The sequence below is a fragment of the Homo sapiens genome, chromosome 21 (assembly GCF_000001405.40).
Source record: "Homo sapiens chromosome 21, GRCh38.p14 Primary Assembly".
Classification (NCBI taxonomy): Eukaryota; Metazoa; Chordata; class Mammalia; order Primates; family Hominidae; genus Homo; species Homo sapiens.
In genome coordinates this window covers 35,209,467-35,228,301 of record NC_000021.9, presented here as the reverse complement: position 1 = coordinate 35,228,301, position 18,835 = coordinate 35,209,467, and the positions used below count along the sequence as shown (strand labels likewise).

The window sequence follows — 18,835 nt, the reverse complement described above, 5'->3', positions numbered from 1 at the left end:
AGAGATGGGGTTTCTCCATGTTGGCCAGGCTGGTCTTGAACTCCTGATCTTAGGTGATCTGCCCCCCTCATCCTCCTAAAGTGCTGGGATTACAGGTGTGAGCCACCACGCCCGGCCTCTTTCTTGTTTCTTTTGCAAATTTAAGGGCGTCAGCACTTCTTCCTCCGACAAATGTTTTATGCCTGATCAGAATTCTTTGTTCTGTCTTCTTTATCCGCTTCACAGACCAGTTTTCTGAAGCCAGGGCTGCCCATCCTCCTGTCTTGTAATTTCAGCCAACTGTGAAGAAGCCTTTGGCCATGTCACATTAAGAGAACAGGTGCTGCTGCGTCACCCTCTCCTCAGCCACCACGTTCCCCACACTGGCAGGTGCTCCCTCTCCTAAAACAGACACCTGTTGGCATTTGCCATCAATTTGCTTTGTGCAGTGTTCCAGAAGACATCTGCCCTTTGTCTGAAATCTCCCATTTTCTGAAGTCTATTAATTCCTTCTCCTGGGATATGTTTCCTCTTGGCCATCAGTTTTTTTGCAGGATGTGTGCAGACATCTGTTTGCATTTGCTTTCCTGAGACCTAGCAGAGTGTAGGTTAGAAGCAGACCGTCCAGAGCCAGCACAGTGGAGTCGAAGGCTAACTTCTGCTTTTTAGCTGGGTGCCCTTGAGAAAATGCCCTCTTTAAGTCTCAGTTTAGTTTGTCTTTAAAATGAGGACACTAGTCCCTGTTTCGTAGAGTCAATATGGAGATTCAATGAAATCGCATATGCAAAACACCTGATCTAGCACCTGCACTTAAAAGGAGCTCGGCACGTGATATGTTAATGTTATTCTCAGGGCTGCCATATCTGGCTGTGCGGTTTGTGTACTGCACAAAAGCACCTATCCAAAGGAAGTGGGCAGAGGGTGAAAGCGTTGGTTTCTGTCATTAATCTGCCTAGAGGATTCTCCTTTTTAAGTTTGTCTTCCTGGATGGTTATCTTTTGTTTAATTAATCTGCCAGGAAGGATGGCCTTTGTGACTATAGGGAGGTGCTCCCTATAAGCCTTTTATTTCTCCTCTCACTCCCAGGCCCCTCCTTTCATTCTCTCTAGGATCTCTTTCAAAAGCTTTACCCTCACCGGTGAAAGACAAACCCTACATGAAACCCAGACATGGTGGTTAGCCCCTGTTCTTCCTCAGGCGGAGAGGGGCTGTCTACAGTTCAGGTAGGTCACAGCTATCAACCGTGCCACCCTGTGCCGGGGAGGAGTCCCAATGTCTTTCTCTAGCTCGTGGTTGGGTGGAAGAGTGAGATGTGAAAAGAAACAACATCCTTGAAGTGGGGAGTTTAAGGAGGACTTGGGGGGGTCACACACAATGCTCTCAGAGCCAGCAGAGGGGCCCCTGCTAGGCCGGGATGTGGATTTACCTTCAGGGAGGAAGCCACACTTGTTTTGAATCTTAGCCCATGGGGAAGAAATGCCCAGGTATAGTTAGATTGAAGAAAGCACTCCAGGCAGAGGGAATTTGGGATATTTTTAAAAAGTCTAGATCAGCAGGGTTATGCACCTGGCTAAGGAAGAGGTCCCATACATAGTTTTACCAGAACTTTTGAATTCTCAAGCCTCCCTTGTTTTTACACTGTTCCCTGAAGTGGGCAGGACTGGTGTTGCCGAAGCCCCTCACTCTGAGAGGTGAGCAGAGTGGGCTCTGGGACCTGCCTCTTCGGCTGAGGGCTTTGGGGTGAGTCAGTTCCCGAACAGTTCTCAGGCCTTGCTTGACCCCAGGCCTGGACTTTACTCCAGCTCAGCACTGCTGTAACCCGATCTCTGTGGCCACTTGCAGAAGGGCCAAAACCCTGTTCCCAGAAGAGATGCCAGTGCCCAGAGGGCAGCTTCTCTCTGGTCAGTACCTTTACCCCAGTTCACGTAGGAAAACAGCACTTCTGAGTTCAGCAGAAGCTGTCTCTCGGCTTTCTCCAGGAACTGGGGTCAGGAAGTCATTATTTTGTACGGATTACTTTTCCCCCTAAGTGAAAGTCCAGAGAGACTCAGGGGAACCTTTTTCTTAGTTTTCTCATCGCTGAATTGCAGGCCCATGCAAAGAATCACCCCCAGAGCAGCAGCTGGGGACAAAATCCACTCAGCATAGTGTAATACCATGTCACTTAGAAAGAGCTCCAGCCCCTCCTCACTGGAGCAAATCCCATCTGCTGGCCCCACACTCAGAATCTTTAATGGCCCCTCATAGATGGCTGGGTGCAGGCCACCGCCTTGAAGAGCAGCAGAGCCAGGGGTTAAGTGCATGAGTCCTCTTCTCCGGAGACCATTCTGCCTTCACTAGCTGTGTAACCTGGGGCAAGTTATTTAGTCTTTCTGATTCTTACTTTTCTCTTTTGTAAGATGGGCTGATACTACCACCTGCCCCTCAGAGCCACTGTGAGTAACCTGTGAGATCATGCATGTAAGATATTTAGCATTCTGCGTCGCATACAGCAAGCCCAACATACATGTTGGCTATTTCTTCCTTAAATATGTATTGATATTTCAAGTGATGAAAGTAGTACTTGCGCAATACAAAACAACTGAAAAATACTAGACTGCGTATAAGAGGAAAAAAGACAAACATGTCCTCTTCCCATTCTCTCCCCAAAGAGCTGACAAGTGTTCAAAACTTCATATATCTCCTTCTAGTCCATTATCCATGCACGTGAAGTCTTAAAGGTGTATGCACGTTTTTCTCTTTTCCACAAAATAAAAATATAACATACAAGTTATCCTGTAATTTGCTCTTTCTGCCTTACGTATGGTAGAGACAACTTCATAGTAGTACTAGAAGTTCTATCTCTTTTTCTTTATTAACCAAAAAATATTCTACTACGTAACTGGACAGCAATTTATCCATCCCATTGCCCACTGATTGACATACAAGTTGTTACTTGAATATTAATTGTTGACTGTTATAAACGCTACTAAAATAAGCATCCTTGAGTGGACCTCTCTGTGCTTATAAATTCTTAAAGAAGGAATTCCTGGCTCAAAAGATAGGCATATTTAAGGTTTTATGGAAATTGCTTAATTTTGCCTTCCAATATATTTAATTGTTTGCACACCAAACAATAATATACGAGAGAACATTTTCCCAAGACTGACATGAAATGAGGCATCAGAATTTTATAATACTTCAGAACCATCGCACAGATAGACTGCATTTAAAGGGCGTTTACTTACTGATCCTTAATTTTAGAAGCATAAACTTCCATAGCCATCACCACCCAGGTGTGCTCGTCTTTCAGACTCCCCTAAATGGCAATGAGCTGGTCCAATCAGACAAGCTCTCATTTTCATGGAGGGTACATAAAGGAGGGCGAATGTGACTTCCTGGGCTTGTAGATTATGTATTTCTTTTGTGAAAACATCACACCTGAGCCCCAGGCCAGAACTTTCCTTTTTTTTCTTTCTTTTTTTTTTTTTTTTTTTTTTTTTTTTAGAGACAGAGTCTCGCTCTGTCTCCCAGGCTGGAGTGCAGTGGCTCAATCCCAGTTCACTGCAACCTCCACCTCCCGGGTTCAAGTGATTCTCCTGCCTCAGCCTCCTGAGTAGCTGAGATTATAGGTGCACACCACCATGCCTGGCTGATTTTTGTATTTTTAGTAGAGACAGGGTTTTGCCATGTTGGTCAGGCTGGTCTTGAACTTCTCACCTTGTGATCCGCCCCCCCCCCCGCCCTTAGTTTCCTAAAGTGCTGGGATTACAGGCGTGAGCCACTGTGCCCAGCCCAGAACTTCTTTAATAAATAAAGCCAACGAGTTCTTGGAAGCATTTGGCTTCCAAAAGGACCCAGCCTACATCACATTCGCAAGAAGGGGTGACAGGACTCACGGTTTCTGGGTCACAGTTCCATGTCCACCTTTGAGTAGAGTCTTTCATAAGTTTGGACAATGTACCACCCTCTCTAGAACTTGATTTGCTTCTCTAATGGATGGACTGGCCCTAAAGAAAGCAGAGACTTGAACCGACTGTCCCAGAGAGTATGACAAAAACAGATCTCTTTCTACAGCATTTCCCGAGAATTATCCAGAAGACGTATTTTTTTTTTAACAATCCAGAATTTCTGATATTTTCAACTTTCGGGGATATTGACTCATTTAAATACTGGTCAACTGTATTGAGAAGGGAATTGTATTGGGAAGAGAGCCCTTCAGGAAAAATTGTCAATGAGGAAATTATTTGTTTTCTTGTAACCGTATCATAGTTAAATCTCCATCAGTAGTGGATGGACAGAACCAAACTGCTAGTGTAAAAAGAAGATCTGAATACTTGTCCTGATTCTTTCACTTAGTAGCTGTGTGACCTGGAGCAAATTACTTAACCTCTCTGATTTGCAGTTTAGTTATGTGAAAAATGAGCATAAGTCCCTGCATAATTCATACGGAGGTAGTGAGGATAAATGTAATAATAGATGTAAAAATGTTGCAGTCCACTGGGAAACAGTAATACATGAAAGGTATGCTTAATATTTGGTTGTAAAATATAGCCTTTATTCTATGATGTCCGATTTTCTTGGCATTCACAACACTTAGAACCCACTAATAAAGCCATGCTAGCAAGAGTACAATTAAGGACAAGTTGGAAAACTGCCCAGTTCCCATGCATTTGATCTTAGTGAAGCACAGCACATTTGAAAGGACTGTGGATGCAGGAGCTGCATTTATGGGGAAGTCCCTCCATGAGGCCCTCTCCATCTACCCACCTGACCTCTTATCCTTCTACCCACTCCCGAACAATTTGCTCGGCTCAGCCCCCTCCGATCCAAAGCCTCTGTGATTCTAAGACCCAGGTGTGTTCTGGAGAAGATTAATCACAGGCAGACACAACTTTGCATTTCTTCCTTTCCCACCCACCTAACTTATTTCCACCAAAAAAAAAAAAAAAAAAAAAAAAGCCTTGAAGCAGGCTGGCAGAAGATAAAAGGGTCTCCAGTTTAGGTAGATATGCAAGAAAGGGAGAGCTGTTTGTAGAAACATCAGATCTTTCTTGGCCATGACTGGGCATCACTTTGCCCCATCTCCCATCTTTCCATAGCTAGAAGGAAGGATTCTCCTGGATACCTTCAAGGTTCATTTAAGTAGGACACAGAACTCATTGGCTCCCTTGTTCCTGGACTTCCCCTGCTAGTGGTGTGGTCTTTTCCTGACTAATCAAATCCCAGGAAACTTAGGAAACAAACTACAGAACAAGATATAATTTTGCAGGTGATTCAGCAGCTCTCAGATTTCTGTTCAGCTAGAAGGCAAATTTATCCTTCAAACCAGTATACCCATTTCTTCACATCTCCTGTGTCCCAGCAGTTGGATAAACTCTCCAGGTAATGGTGAATCAAGAAAAGGTCATCTGACAAGCTCAGTGAGTGAAAATGGCCCATCCCACTTTGCTGAAGTCACATCACGGGCTTGCTGTCACTGAAGGTCATTGCCATACCACTTCCTACAGGTCTTTGACCTCAAGGGCCGGAGGAACACTTTTCTCAGGCTCCTTTCTCCCCATTGCTGTGGTCCACAAATGTATTCACTGAAACAAGTAATTCTGCTTAGTTCCGAAATAAAGAAACTTAGGTCAGAGTTCTAACCAGAAACAGGAAATGCAGCCAGGGGAGGACAGAGTCAGAGGAAATTAGGCAGGGTGACTAGAAGAAAGAGGTTTTCAGAAATGCTTTCTGAACCTACTCCAGCACTCTGCCTCCCTGGAAGGCTGTAAAATCCATGCAGTTTATCCCAAATTTCCCACGTACAACACCAGACTCCTTCCTGGCATTAACATTGCTTTCCCTTCAGCACAACCTCTGCTCTCTGTTGCTAATTCAGTTTCAGTGTCTCCTTTCTCATGAACTCATACTCTCATGACCTGTAGCATGTGCAAAAGTAATTTAACGTATTTCACCTGATATTCTCTTTGGAATTCTCAGATGGTGGCATGAAAGTATAATGTAACTTCTGCATGTAAATGATGGATGTGTGAGTTTGTACGTGTGTGTGTGTGTGGGGTGCACACATGTTTGTGTTCACTCACCTGCCTGCGAGCCCATGTGCTCTAGCAATAGGATAGGAAGAGAGCTGTCCATGGTATGTCATTCATTCATTTGATATGTATTTATAGATCTACCACACACCATGCACCACTGTGCCTGCATGACCAGCTACAGGATGAAGAACAATTGCAATGAGGCCCTTGTCTTCAAGGAGCTTACAGTCCAGTGGGAGGGAAAAGCCATGGCAGTAAAGCTCAGGACATGCTGATAGCCTAAATACAGATAACTGTACCCATCCTTTACTTTAATATCCCTTTCAGGCTTACCCTCCACCCGAGTGCCAGACTCCCTTCCATACCCAAACATACCAGCCTCAAATATGTCTCAGCCTTGGAGTGCCATAGGGAGCCATCAGGAGAGGGAATCAATGCTAAGCCCCACCATGAAGAAAGCCAGAGCAGCTGAACACACAGCTTTGAGCTTCCTGTAGGTCACTGCAAAGAAGGAAAGAAAAAAAAAAGACCACATGACCAAAGACCACATGACCAAACTTTCTCATGAAATAATGTGGCAGATTACACCCTCAAATGGTACAAAATTTCCCCATGTAGTTTATCTATTATCTAACTGTTGATTTCAAGGGATGCCAGATAGGGAAAAGTCTTCTCTAAATTGACATGTTTTATCCTTTTCCACTTCCATTCTTACCTTCCCAGCTTTTTGCAGGGACAAATACATATTAGACTGAGGCACATTTTGAAATTTCTGTTCAAAATATATTATTATCCGCAACTCTCAAGGTGGATTCTGAAAGATTATTTAAATATTTTATGCTATTAAATGTTTCAAATACACCAAACAATATGTGTGCCTATGATTTATATGCAAGATATACAGAATATAAAATAAGCACTCCTCTACTCATTCATTCATTCATCTGATACATATGGTATGTTTGGGTATTGAAGGGAGTCTGGCACTCAGGTTGAGGGTCAACCAGAAAGGGATATCAAAGTAAAGTATGGGTGGATTTGTGTGCATTTATGCTATCAGCATGTCCTGAGCTATAGAGTCATGGCTTTCCTCTCCCACTAGACTGTAGTAAGCTCCTTGAAGACAAGCACCTCATTGCAATTGTTCTTGTCCTATAGCCAGTCATACAGGCACAGTGGTTCTTGGTCCATGGTAGATCTATGAGTATGCTCCAGAAGAACATAAAAATGCAGTGACACTCTCTGCTTTCTCCTTCAACAGGTGAACATGATCTGAAATTCGTGTATTTATTGCCTGGTTTTCCTTATAGGTTTCCTCCTATGTATGTGCCCCCAGTCAAGATATGTTTGAGTATTTGAACTTTTTATACGTGGTTCTCTGATGAACGAATAATCTGTCAGTGCCATTTTTGCTTCACATTATATTTGTGAGATCCACGTGTTTTCTTTGCTCATCAATCCTTTATCTGTATCTGGATTCTGGGGCCATCTTCCTTTCCTTTGAACATACATCCTAAAGAAGTTCTATTAGTGAGGACCTGCTGGTAATAGATTCTCTTGCTGTTGCTTGTGTGAAAATATGTTTATTTTGCTGAAAGACATTTCCACAATGCTATAAAATGAAAGTTATTCAACAAATACCTCTTGAATGAACAATTTGCCTTTATTCATTATTACAGAACCAAAATGTATCTGCAAATATCAGTGTTCTGGATAATTCAAAATGTGTTGAGGCAGAGTCTGTCATCCCTACAGAAACACATGTCTCTTAGATTAGAGCTGGGACATTCCAATCTACCCCATGCTGTTTTTGAACACATTTCTCTTCCTTGAGTCAGTTTGCAGTTTGATGGCAACTTTCTCTCAGCCCTCTGAAGATGTGATTGTACTGCATTTTTTTTTATTATTTTACTTTAAGTTCTGGGATACATGTGCAGAAAGTGCAGGTTTGTTACATAGGTATACATGTGCCATAGTGGTTTGCTGCCCCTATCAACCCGTCATCTAGACTTTAGGCCCCTCATGCATTAGGTATTTGTCCTAATGCTCTCCCTCCCCTTGCCCCCACCCTGCCTCCCAACAGGCCCCAGTGTGTGTTGTTCCCCTCCCTGTGTCCATGTCTTCTCATTGTTCAACTCCCACTTAATGAGTGAGAACATGCAGTGTTTGGTTTTCTGTTCCTGTGTTAGTTTGCTGAGGATGATGGCTTCCAGCTTAATCCATGCCCCTGCAAAGGGCATGATTTCATTCTTTTGTATGGCTTGATTGCACTGCATTTTAGCTCCTGCTGCCCCTGTGAAGGCATCAATTGCCTGCTGAACTGTGGCTCCTTTTAGGCTATATAGCTTTTCTCTCTGGCTACTTTTCAGATGGTCATGTTTATCTTTGGTGGTCAGCTGTTTTGAAAAATCTAGGGTAGATTTCTAGATTCATTGTGATTCATTGAAGTTCCCAAATCTGAGGATTCGTAGGTTTCATCAACTCAAGAGAATTCTCCACCATCACCTCTTCCGTATTTTTGCTTTCCCTATTCTCTTTATTGTGTCTTTCCAATGATCACTTTCCACAAGTCTGACTGAATGTGTGTTATACCTTTTCACTGTATGTACATTTTCAACCTTCCTTTTATTGTTTCCTCTTTTGTCACTCTGTACTGCATTCAGGATCATTTCATAAGGTTAGCTTGCATTTCATGATTTCCCTTCCAGTTGCGTCTAATCTGTCTTTAATATCTGCACTGAATTTCAAATTGTATATATTATAGATTTATTCCTAGAGGATAAATATATTGCTTTTTCAAATCTGACTCATCATTTTTACACTCTCTTTTTCCTTTCTCATGTTTTCAAGTCAACCCTTTCATCTTCTTTTTAAAAACCTATTAAATACATTTATTGTATATGTTTATCTAATAATTTCAGTATCTGTTATGCTCTGGTTTTGATCTGCTGGGTGTTGTTTCTGCAGACTCTCACTCGTGGTACTTTGTTCACTTATGTATTCTATGATTTTTCTTTAATTCATGAATTTTTGGCCTTTCTTTGAAACCTGAATTGAAGGAGCCTTACTCTTGAGAAGATTTGCATTTACTTCTGCCAGTTACCAGGAACCACCACCAATCTGGCACCAGAATGTGAAATCTTGGCTTGATGTTTTTCAGACCACAATGCATACTGTGAATTGGACTACAAACCTGTGTGAAGGAGGGTAACAAATTCTCAAAGAATACTTCTTTCCCCTTTTCCCAGAATCAAAACTGATACCTGTACTGGATACACTTTCTGGACATTTGTATTTGTGGGAAAATATATTTTGGTTCATCCTTTCCCTAAGGGTGCTGATCTTCGAAGACCCTAGTTTTATGTGAAGTCACCTAACCTGTCGGTTCACCAATAAAATAAATCCAAAGCTCTAGTTTACAACAGTAGCCAGACAGCTTTAGGCTGCTGCCAGATTTACCAGTCACCTATCTGGATTTGTGCTCCTGCTCAGCTTCTTTGTTTCTGACCATTTCCTTAAGCCGTGCTCTTAGAAAGCATTCAACATTTTATCCAGTATTTTTGTATACTTTGAAGGGGGATGGCTTTAGGATTCCTTTGGTACCATATTGCCAGAGAAGTCTAACCATCTTGCACAGAATTTCACAGTTGGCACTGTCAGATCTCCGATTTAAGTAAACTCATTGTATGTGAATCCAGTGGGTTAAAATGTAAGAATAAAGAAAAGAACTAGCATTGACAGAGTGTCTACAATGGGTCAGTCATTCGTAAATGGAACCCTCACCCAACCCTTAGAAGGAAATTATAAAAATATTATTCTGAGGATAAAAACCTCACAACCTGAGCCTCTAGTGGTTAAGAAACCTGCCCACAATAACACAGGGGTGAAGCTAGCATTCAAAACCCTATTTTGCTATTTTATACATTTAGTTCTTGATTGATGGCTCTTCCCTACCCACAGAAAAGTTTTTCTATGGTACATAGAAATTTGTCTAGCGTCTCCTTGAAAAGCAGAGGACTATGACAATTGATGCCAAGAGACCTTAGGCAAGTTCTAGAATTCTAGGCAATTTTTTGAAAATATTCTTACCAATATCTATCTATGTATCTATCCACTGATTATCTTTGAAAATAGAGAGTAGACCTTTTAAGTAACATGAGAGAAGAGACTATGTCCTTGCACATGTTTGTGGCGTTCACAAGTCCCTGAACAATGCTATAAAATGAAAGATATTCAACAAATACCTCTTGAATGACCAATTTGCCTTTATTCATTATTACAGAACCAAAGTGTGTCTGCAAATATCAGTGCTCTGGATAATTCAAAATGTGTTGAGGCAGAGTCTGTCATCCCTACAAAGACACATGTCTCTTAGATTAGGGCTGGGACATTCCAATCTACCCCATGCTGTTTTTGAACACATTTCTCTTCCCTGAGTCAGTTTGCATCAGCTACTTCAAGCCTTGTGACCTGTTTTAGCACCTCGCACCCTCCTCTGGTATGTCAGAGAGTTTGAGTCACAGGTTTCAGTGACTCTGAAAGAAGACCTCACATTCTTTCTCTCAGTTGCCATCATTGGCCCAGGTAAGTAGGTTACTGCCCTGGCATACCTCATCCCACCTGCACTTGTGCCTCAGGGCATTGTTTGCTCTGGACACTCTAGTGTGCAGGGCTATTATTGTGTAAGTCACTGCTATCTTGCAGACCCATAATGCTTACTGATGCATTACTGTATTTGCTATTAGAGGGCTCTGTGTTCATAGGTAGGCCATTTCAATGTGCTCACTTAAGAAGGACAATATTTTACTCCTCCTGAGTCGGTGGAGTCATCCTGTCTCATTCCAAGGATTACCTTACATTAGTGGCTTTGAGAAAGTCAAACTCTATGCCTGGCTAATTCATCTTTGGAAAGAAGTTACTGTTGAACAAGGGAACCCATGAGGGCTCTTGCTGTGCTTGTCTATGCTAAAGGGACAAGAAAGCAAATAACTCTTTCAATCTCACTTTAAATTGAAGCATAGGACTGGCTCTTTGAACTGGAAAATGTTTATTTAAGAATGCACAGCTCCTTGCAGCTTTGCATCAAAAGGCTCTGTGTCCAAGGAAGAAGGTGGAGACAGGTTAATAGCCTTGAGAAGAACAGCTTGTAACATTAGCCTCTTCTATCCGCCTTTCTTCCAGCAGTAAGTGCAAGAGCTTGGCTTAGAACTGCAGGCACTTACTTGAATACTAGGAAGCTTTCATTTGACTGCACATCCATGGTGTAAGGACATTGGTCTCTAAACATTTTGAATGCCAAGAAGCAGCTTTTCATGTAGCCTACACTAGCTCATTAGAGATTTTGCTTAAAAGAAAATGAATGCACTTTTATTTAATTTCCTTCTCTCAAAATTTGCTACTGGCCAGGCATGGTGGCTCACCCCTGTAATTCCAGCGCTTTGGGACGCCAAGGCAAGTGGATCACCTGAGGTCAGGAGTTCAAGACTAGCCTGGGAAAGATGGCGGAACTCCATCTCTACTAAAAAATATAAAAATTAGCAGGGCGTGGTGGTGCACGCCTGTAATCCTAGCTACTCGGGACGCTGAGGCAGGTAAATGGCTTGAACCTGGGAGGCGGAGGTTGCAGTGAGCCGAGATTTCACCATTGCACTCCAGCCTGGGTGACAAGAGCAAAAATCCATCTAAAAAAAAAAAAGTTTGCTACTAACTGTAGTGTCAAGTGCCAACAGATTTAGTACCTCAGAAAAGGAAACATTCTTCAAAAGGTGACTTCAGTAAAATGTTTCTTAATGAGAAAAAAAGTTAAACTTGTATCAATCGAAGCACAAAAGCAATTTAAATTAACTCAGATTATAGAAAATGAAATATTTTTCAAGTTGGTAGCTGAGACAATTAAAAATTATTTGGCTATATAACAATATTTAATGCATACTAGTGTTTTCAATTAAGTGACCAATACCTATGAATGAGCTGTAAATAGATTTATTACGATGAATAAAATCAGCTTTTTATTTTGGGAGAAAGGAAACTTCAAATGTTCCAACTTTCTGTGTGTGATATTAGAAGCCTAGCAGAAAAATGAGACACATTAGGAGGAAATAATTACCTCCTTCAATTCTATGCCTTTTTTCTTGAGGAAAAGGCACCATCATTTGTCCCCCACCCCTTAATCCTAGCCTTTTCACACTATTGTCCTGGCTTGAAATTCTATACATTCTTGCTGGTGAGCTCAAGTCCCATTTCTGAGAATCCTTTTGCTTTCACCCTAGTCCAGGCTGACCTCTCTGTGGCTGCCTAAGGCCATGACCCAGTCCTGGCCCCCCAAGAGAAAGGTGTAATCGAAATACAGGATGAGTGCCACTGTAGGGCAAGTTTAGAGGACACTGGGAACCAGGGACTGAGCATTACCAAGGCTGAGGAAGTAAACACCTAGAAGAGAGACATGGACCTGCAGGACCCTGTAATTCAGCTGCTCTGGGTAGTTGCCTCAAGCTGCCTTGGAACTTAAAGGAATCAACCTATGCATCGTGCCCGTTCCAGTGGCTGGCACTTCTCCACACTCAATGCATCCCTTCTAAGGGGAGATTGTTCTAAGGGCCATCCACATCCAGAAAGCAGAAAAATAGGCTAACAACTTCTCAAACCAAAAGTTTTATAACCATGAAATAGTGTCGTTGACATTAAGTCACTTCTGCTTCAGATTATATTAAAAAGTCAGCATAACACCAAACAACCTAAATGAGAGGAATGTCATTTTTATTTCCACCAATTCAAGAGGTAACATCTGCCGCATCTTTCCAGAGGTGCGCACATTGCTTCAGTTCTATCCATTCAGCTTGTTTTTCAAAGATGTTTGAAACTGAACTGAAACATAAATAGATTTCTCTGTATACAGGCCACCATTCCAATGGGGGGAAGTTATTTTTATATAGACATTTTTGGTTAAGTGATAATGTGGCACCTGGCAGTAAGCTCAACAGACATTTCTGTCAAGCTGGGTATTAAAAATAGTGATCACTTTAGGACATTTATTTGCTCTTTGGAAGCCATCAGCTTATGATTTGGAAGTGTTTAATAGTTTTTACTTGACACAAGACTGTCAAGTGTGCCTTTCAAATCCAGTGGTGACAAACATTTTAGGAGACACAAAGGTGACCCTCCTTACTGGCTATGGTGATTGGTGGGTTCATGGTAGGTAGAAGAAGGGCTGGTCTACAAACTGCCACAACATTCCTACATGCCGAGGTTGGTGGAAGTAGAGTTTTGCCCCTGACACTGCTACCTGGCCTGACCCACTTGTCTGCTTCTCTCTGCTTCTGAGGTCCTACTCATCTTCATTCTCTGGTTATAGCTCAACGAAAAGGTGACCAGGAAACCCAAAGCTTGGATATACAATAAAAATAATTTTAAACTTGATTTTAGGGAATCTTAAAGATTTGATATACCCAGTTGAGTGTTGAATTCTTTAGGTTTTATATATATATATATATATATATTTTAAATAAAACTAGTACTACCATAAATTTACCATCCTTCTTTTTCACCAGACCATTAGCCATTTGCAAAGTTGCAGTTTATCTTCCAAGAATCTGAACCTCCAAGGATTAGGATGCTGGATATATTTTTAAAGTTGCAGCAAAGTCACCAAAGCTAATCAAAGTAAAAGGTCTTCCCTATGCAAAGTAAAAGAGACCAACTTGAAAAAAAAATCCATTGAAACAAAAAACAATTTAAATATACTCATATTTAAACATTTTCCTATTCTTAAACTTGGAAAACCTTTTGCTAAATAATTCCCTTACAGACTCACTGGAGGAACAGATTCATTGAATGAGGAAAACCAAACAAATACTGACATGCAAGCAAATACTTCAAAAATAATGAGGACATTGAAATTCTAGCTCCTGTTATGGATGTAGACTATCCCAGAAGACTAGAAGCCTGCGCTCCCAAATGAAATAACCAATTCCAAGACTGCTTGAAGGACCTCTCTGGACTGTCCACATGTTGATTCCTCAACCTGGAAGACTCGTCCATCCCTTGTCTGTCTGTCTTCATCAAACAGGAATTTATTCTTCAAAACCTAGATCTGTCACTCACTCTTTTATAAACACTTTCTTGAACTAATCACTTCCTCCCTACCTGTCTTTGGAATCTTATAAAAGCATCCCTTCGGGAACATGTGATGTTTCTTATGAATTCTTCTCACATCTGTATTTCATAGTAGAGTGAAGCCACCACATTCTTCTTTCTGTTAACAACACCTCACACGGTAACCAGGGCACAATAGATGCCTCATGGTGTTTCTTACACTGAATTGCACTCACCTTGAACTTACATTACTATAATAGTTCATTCTCCTTCCATAGACACTTTCTTATGTTGACCCCAGTTCTACCTCTCTTTACCTTCCACTCACTGGTCCTATTTTGTCCCTTTGGGACAACACAGAATAAGCCTATTTCCTCTTCAAATAAGGCCCTATGCAAAATGCAGGCACCTTTTATGACATGCATAGTGAAAAAACCTTCAACCTGTTCTCATATGATATGTTTCTGGGACCATTCACCTGTCCATGGGCACACACTCTGGTGCATCACTGGGACCATTCACCTGCTCTACTGCACCACTTCCTCCACAAGTATGGTGGCCAGAACAAGAGCCCATAGGGTAGATGTCAACTGACCATTGAGTAGCACAAGACATCACGCTTCTGTTAGAACAAGCTATGATTATATCGGGGTCTTTTTAGCAAACCATATCACACTACTCACTTCGATCACGTTCAGTTTATCCTAAATCATGGATAGTCATTGTGTTACTATACTGTCTCATAAGTACATGTTAAAAATTTGAGAGATTAAAAAAAAAATTGTCTTACATCATTCTCCAGATATGGCTGAAAGTCATCTGGCTGTGGCAAATAGGGCTACACTGGCAATCTGGTTATTAGTCTTGAAAAGTGTTCTAATCGTGAATTATCACATTCGCAAGGTTGATAATATACTATAAGGAGTAAGGCTGAGGCTGGGGATTCTCCACAGAAACACACTGGGACAGATCTGTCCATGATTAAGAGAAGGAAATATGTCCCAGACCAACTGGCAAATGGTTGCTTCCCTCATCCTCCAAGTCTCTAAACAAAGAGCCTCCAAGAACCTGCTCAGTCTCTACGGCCAGAGTCCATTCTGACTGGACAATAATGCTGGTGCCTTTACAGTTCTTCAGTCTTAGCAGTTGTTAAATATTTTGATCACCCTCTTTTCTTCTGAACCGAGAGGGGATTTTACTAATGGCCTTCAAGTACACAAATGACTGTCTGAGTGAATCATGGCCAATTAATCTCCAAATCCACAGGGAAGAAAACAAAAGGAAATGAGTACAACTGTAGCAAGGACTTAGCATGGACTGACAGGGGTGTGGGAGAGTGACACCGGGTGCTCCTATTCTCCCATTTGGACAGACTTTATAAGCCAGATGGAGCCCCACAGATCTGGTGGCTAAAGCCCAAGCCTGTCTGAGAATGACTTTGCGTGGTTTCTCAGGGTCTGGGATCCTCCAGGCAAAAAGTCAGAGGGAAAGGGCCATGTGTGGGAGGAACCATTATCTAATATTAGTCTTTTGACTCTTGTAAGAACTGAAACAAATGATCATTTACTGGTATCTTGCACCAAATCAGTCTGGAGAAGAGAAACTATCAGATGTTTCAACTCAACAGCTGCACATCAAAAATAGTATTTGAGACACCAGGAGCCCTGTGGCATGAATGCCAGAAGCAAGTCTAGTATGTTGGGGGCTCTGAAGTTTCTTGTTCCTGGAATGAAAGGAGACAGTATTGCTGGCCACAGGCACAGTGTCAATGTACTCCTAGTTGCAGTCACACTACTTTTGTATGTTTTGTTTGTACATGTATATACACACATGTATGCATACAAGCACTCAAACACAAACGATGGTTAAGAAAAATACATGCTAAACAGCCAGTCATCCACCTTCCAAAAATCTCTCCAGCAGGATCCTTTGGGTCTCATTCTTTTCTAAACCAACTCATTAGGAAACTCACACACAAAAAACAAGAACTACTTCTATGAACCTCTAATTTTGCATATGATACAGGCATTTCTATCAGGTGTTATGCCATAAATTAGACAAAATGTGGTTGATAATTTAAGAAACGTGATTTCCGTACACATGCTACTATTGGTATCCCTAGGCTGAAATCATGTTGCCATGAGCCAGGATGGATATACTAGTTGTTCTATAGCCAGCATCTGTTCTGATTGGATGGCATCCAGATTGTGCAGATTGATAAATATTTTGAACATCGTTCCCAGTTATCATGGGCTTGTGGTTGAGAAATACCACCATAAACACAAGAAGAAAGGTCGTTGTGTTCTCTGCCTTGGAAAACACAGTTGCTTTCTGGAGAGACTGGCTGCTCCGTTGATATTATTTTCTTCTGCTCACCAGTGACTGTTGAAAAATATTCTGTGTGATTAGAATCTAGAACGCTATTGATTTTTGTCTGGTCTTTCATGATATTTATAATTTCCTCATTTATGTTTGAGATTAAAAAATCTTTAGCTAACATCAATAAAATACATTATTGCTATTAAAATACTACTGTGAAAATCTTGAAATAAAAATAACTTTGAAACTCTCTTAAGTCCTTTTTTCAAACATACATCATTGTTTTCACAATGCAATTCCTGGTAATTAAGAGGTTTCTTTGAAACTGAACTACAAGTAACAGAGGATAAAAATAATAGTTGGTAAAGCAAATGAAAAGTCAGAGGGTAAGCAGCAAGGGGCTGGTATGGTGGTTATATTTTCCAAAATACTCAGGGATCCAGGCTTCATCCAGCTCTGCCCTTCGCCAGCACTAACATATAACCCCGTTCCTCAACATCCAGTTTGGCAGTCAACGCTCCAGCCTTTACATATTTACTGTAGGCATCAAAGAGAGAGAGAAGAAAAGGATATAAAAAGAGTGCATTCTAGCTGTCATTCAACATAGTGTGCCAGTCTACTACACATCACATATTTAGTAAGTGGTGGGGGCTTATGGCTTTGACTAGGTACTTATAGCCTGGATTTTGAAGAGAATGGATTGAAGAGAGGCAGCATTCAGCCTGCATTTCATTGGTCAGAACTTCTCCAAAATCTGGTCACACCTGCAACGATGTTAGGAAGTGTAGTTTTTTGTTTGTTTGTTTGTTTGTTTGTTTGTTTGTGACTATGGACACAGCTAAAAATTAAGACTTCTATTACTATGAAAGGAGAAGGGAACAGCTGTTAGGGGTCAGCTAGCCATTTTTTTCTGCAAAAGCCATTCTTTTAGAGCAGACCAGATTATATCCTATTCATTTCTGAATCGTATATTCACTTTCTATTTCTATCTTATTGAATTCTATTCCCTTCTGAATTGAGCCACCTAGATTGAGAATTATCAGTAATTTTGAGTTCCCTAAATAGTTTTGTAATTTATTTATCCACTGAATAAGTATTAGTGGAATACCTACTGTGGGATAAGAACTCTGCTAAGGTTTAGGAATAGCAACATGAACAAAACATGGCTCCTGGTTTCATGGAGTCACATGGAGAAGGCCACTACTGGGCAAGTGAGTATAACAGCATAGGCACTCTAGAGAGAATGGGGCAGGGAGACACAGCTTAGCATTGAAGTGGAGGAAGGCACTTAAGCTGATAGGTGAAGGATGAGTGGGAGGTGTTGATAGCATGCTCCAAGGCAAGGCAGCACAGGTTCCAAGGCCTGGGAGTTAGAAGAAATGCTGAATTTCAAGGCACTGAACAATTTACAACATCTCTGGAGTGTTGATTTCAGAGGCGAAAATGTTGCTAGATAAAGCTGGTGAGAGGTAAGACCTATAAGCCATGTTAGACTTCATGCTTTTCTTACAGGGAACTATTGAATACAAGGCTCATTTTGACTGCTTTATAATAACCATACCTATTATCTATTGAGTGTCGACTATATGTTTGACATTGTGGTAAGTATATTACATCACTAAGTGTACTACATGCATTAACAAACTCTAAGGGACAGATTGTCCCTACTCTATAAAAGAGAAATGTGAAGGTCAAGGCATTTTAAAAACCTGCTCAGGGGGTCATTCAGTTAACAAGAGTTTGAGCTAAGATCAACCGAGAAACAGTCCAATGCTGTACTCATTTCATAGCCTAGACCACACGGAGCCTAGATTGAATGGGATCAGGGCTGCAGAAAGCAATCATACGTGGCTAGGTGTATAGATAATTTTTAAAACTTTAACCTTCACTTCTACTGCTGATCATTTAAGATGTCCTGGCTCTGCAACTGCTTCTAACTCTGGTTCTGTGACAGTCTAACTTCTGTAAACCCCACTTGTTCATTTTTGAGTGGAGATTGCTCCCTTTACTCTACTGAGTAAACTCTCTTGTTAGACCCTATAGACCTGACTTGTCTGACCTGTGGGTCACAGAAGTCTCCAATTGATTCCAGGAGCACGCTGGCCCTCTGACACACTGAGCATCCATGATACCCAATTATCCAGAAAAGAGGGGTAAACTGGATTTGGGAAGGGGAAGGTTCTCCAATGCTGATACTTTGGTAAAATCCCTTTTGCTCTTGTTTTAGATTGGTTAGTGTTCATTTGCCTCCCTCAGCACAATTAATGTTACCGACTGCTATGGGTCAAACATGAGTGGGTACTTGAAGCAACATGCACTGGTTTTCTTTGCTGTGGTGGAGATTACAACAGGGCTGGCTCTGGACGCACAGGTTGAGTCTACGCTCCAGGGTCTCCTAATTCTCCCTTCCATGTGCATGCAGCCTCCTC

General features: G+C 41.4%; 1 long non-coding RNA gene across 1 annotated transcript, besides 1 other annotated feature; it reads left to right on the top strand.

The window, feature by feature from the left end:
- On the top strand, positions 1,127-16,657 carry LOC124905015 (uncharacterized). The gene is made up of 2 exons (XR_007067854.1): positions 1,127-1,202; positions 13,801-16,657. It is a non-coding gene; the product is annotated as an uncharacterized LOC124905015 (long non-coding RNA).
- Positions 10,001-11,200: an enhancer, noted in NCBI's record as "CDK7 strongly-dependent group 2 enhancer chr21:36589399-36590598 (GRCh37/hg19 assembly coordinates)". NCBI's record gives its function as "activates an origin of replication core promoter dependent on BRD2, BRD4, P300/CBP, MED14 and CDK7 cofactors, with strong dependence on CDK7, by STARR-seq in HCT116 cells {active_cell/tissue: HCT116}" and the evidence as "EXISTENCE:reporter gene assay evidence [ECO:0000049][PMID:35650434]".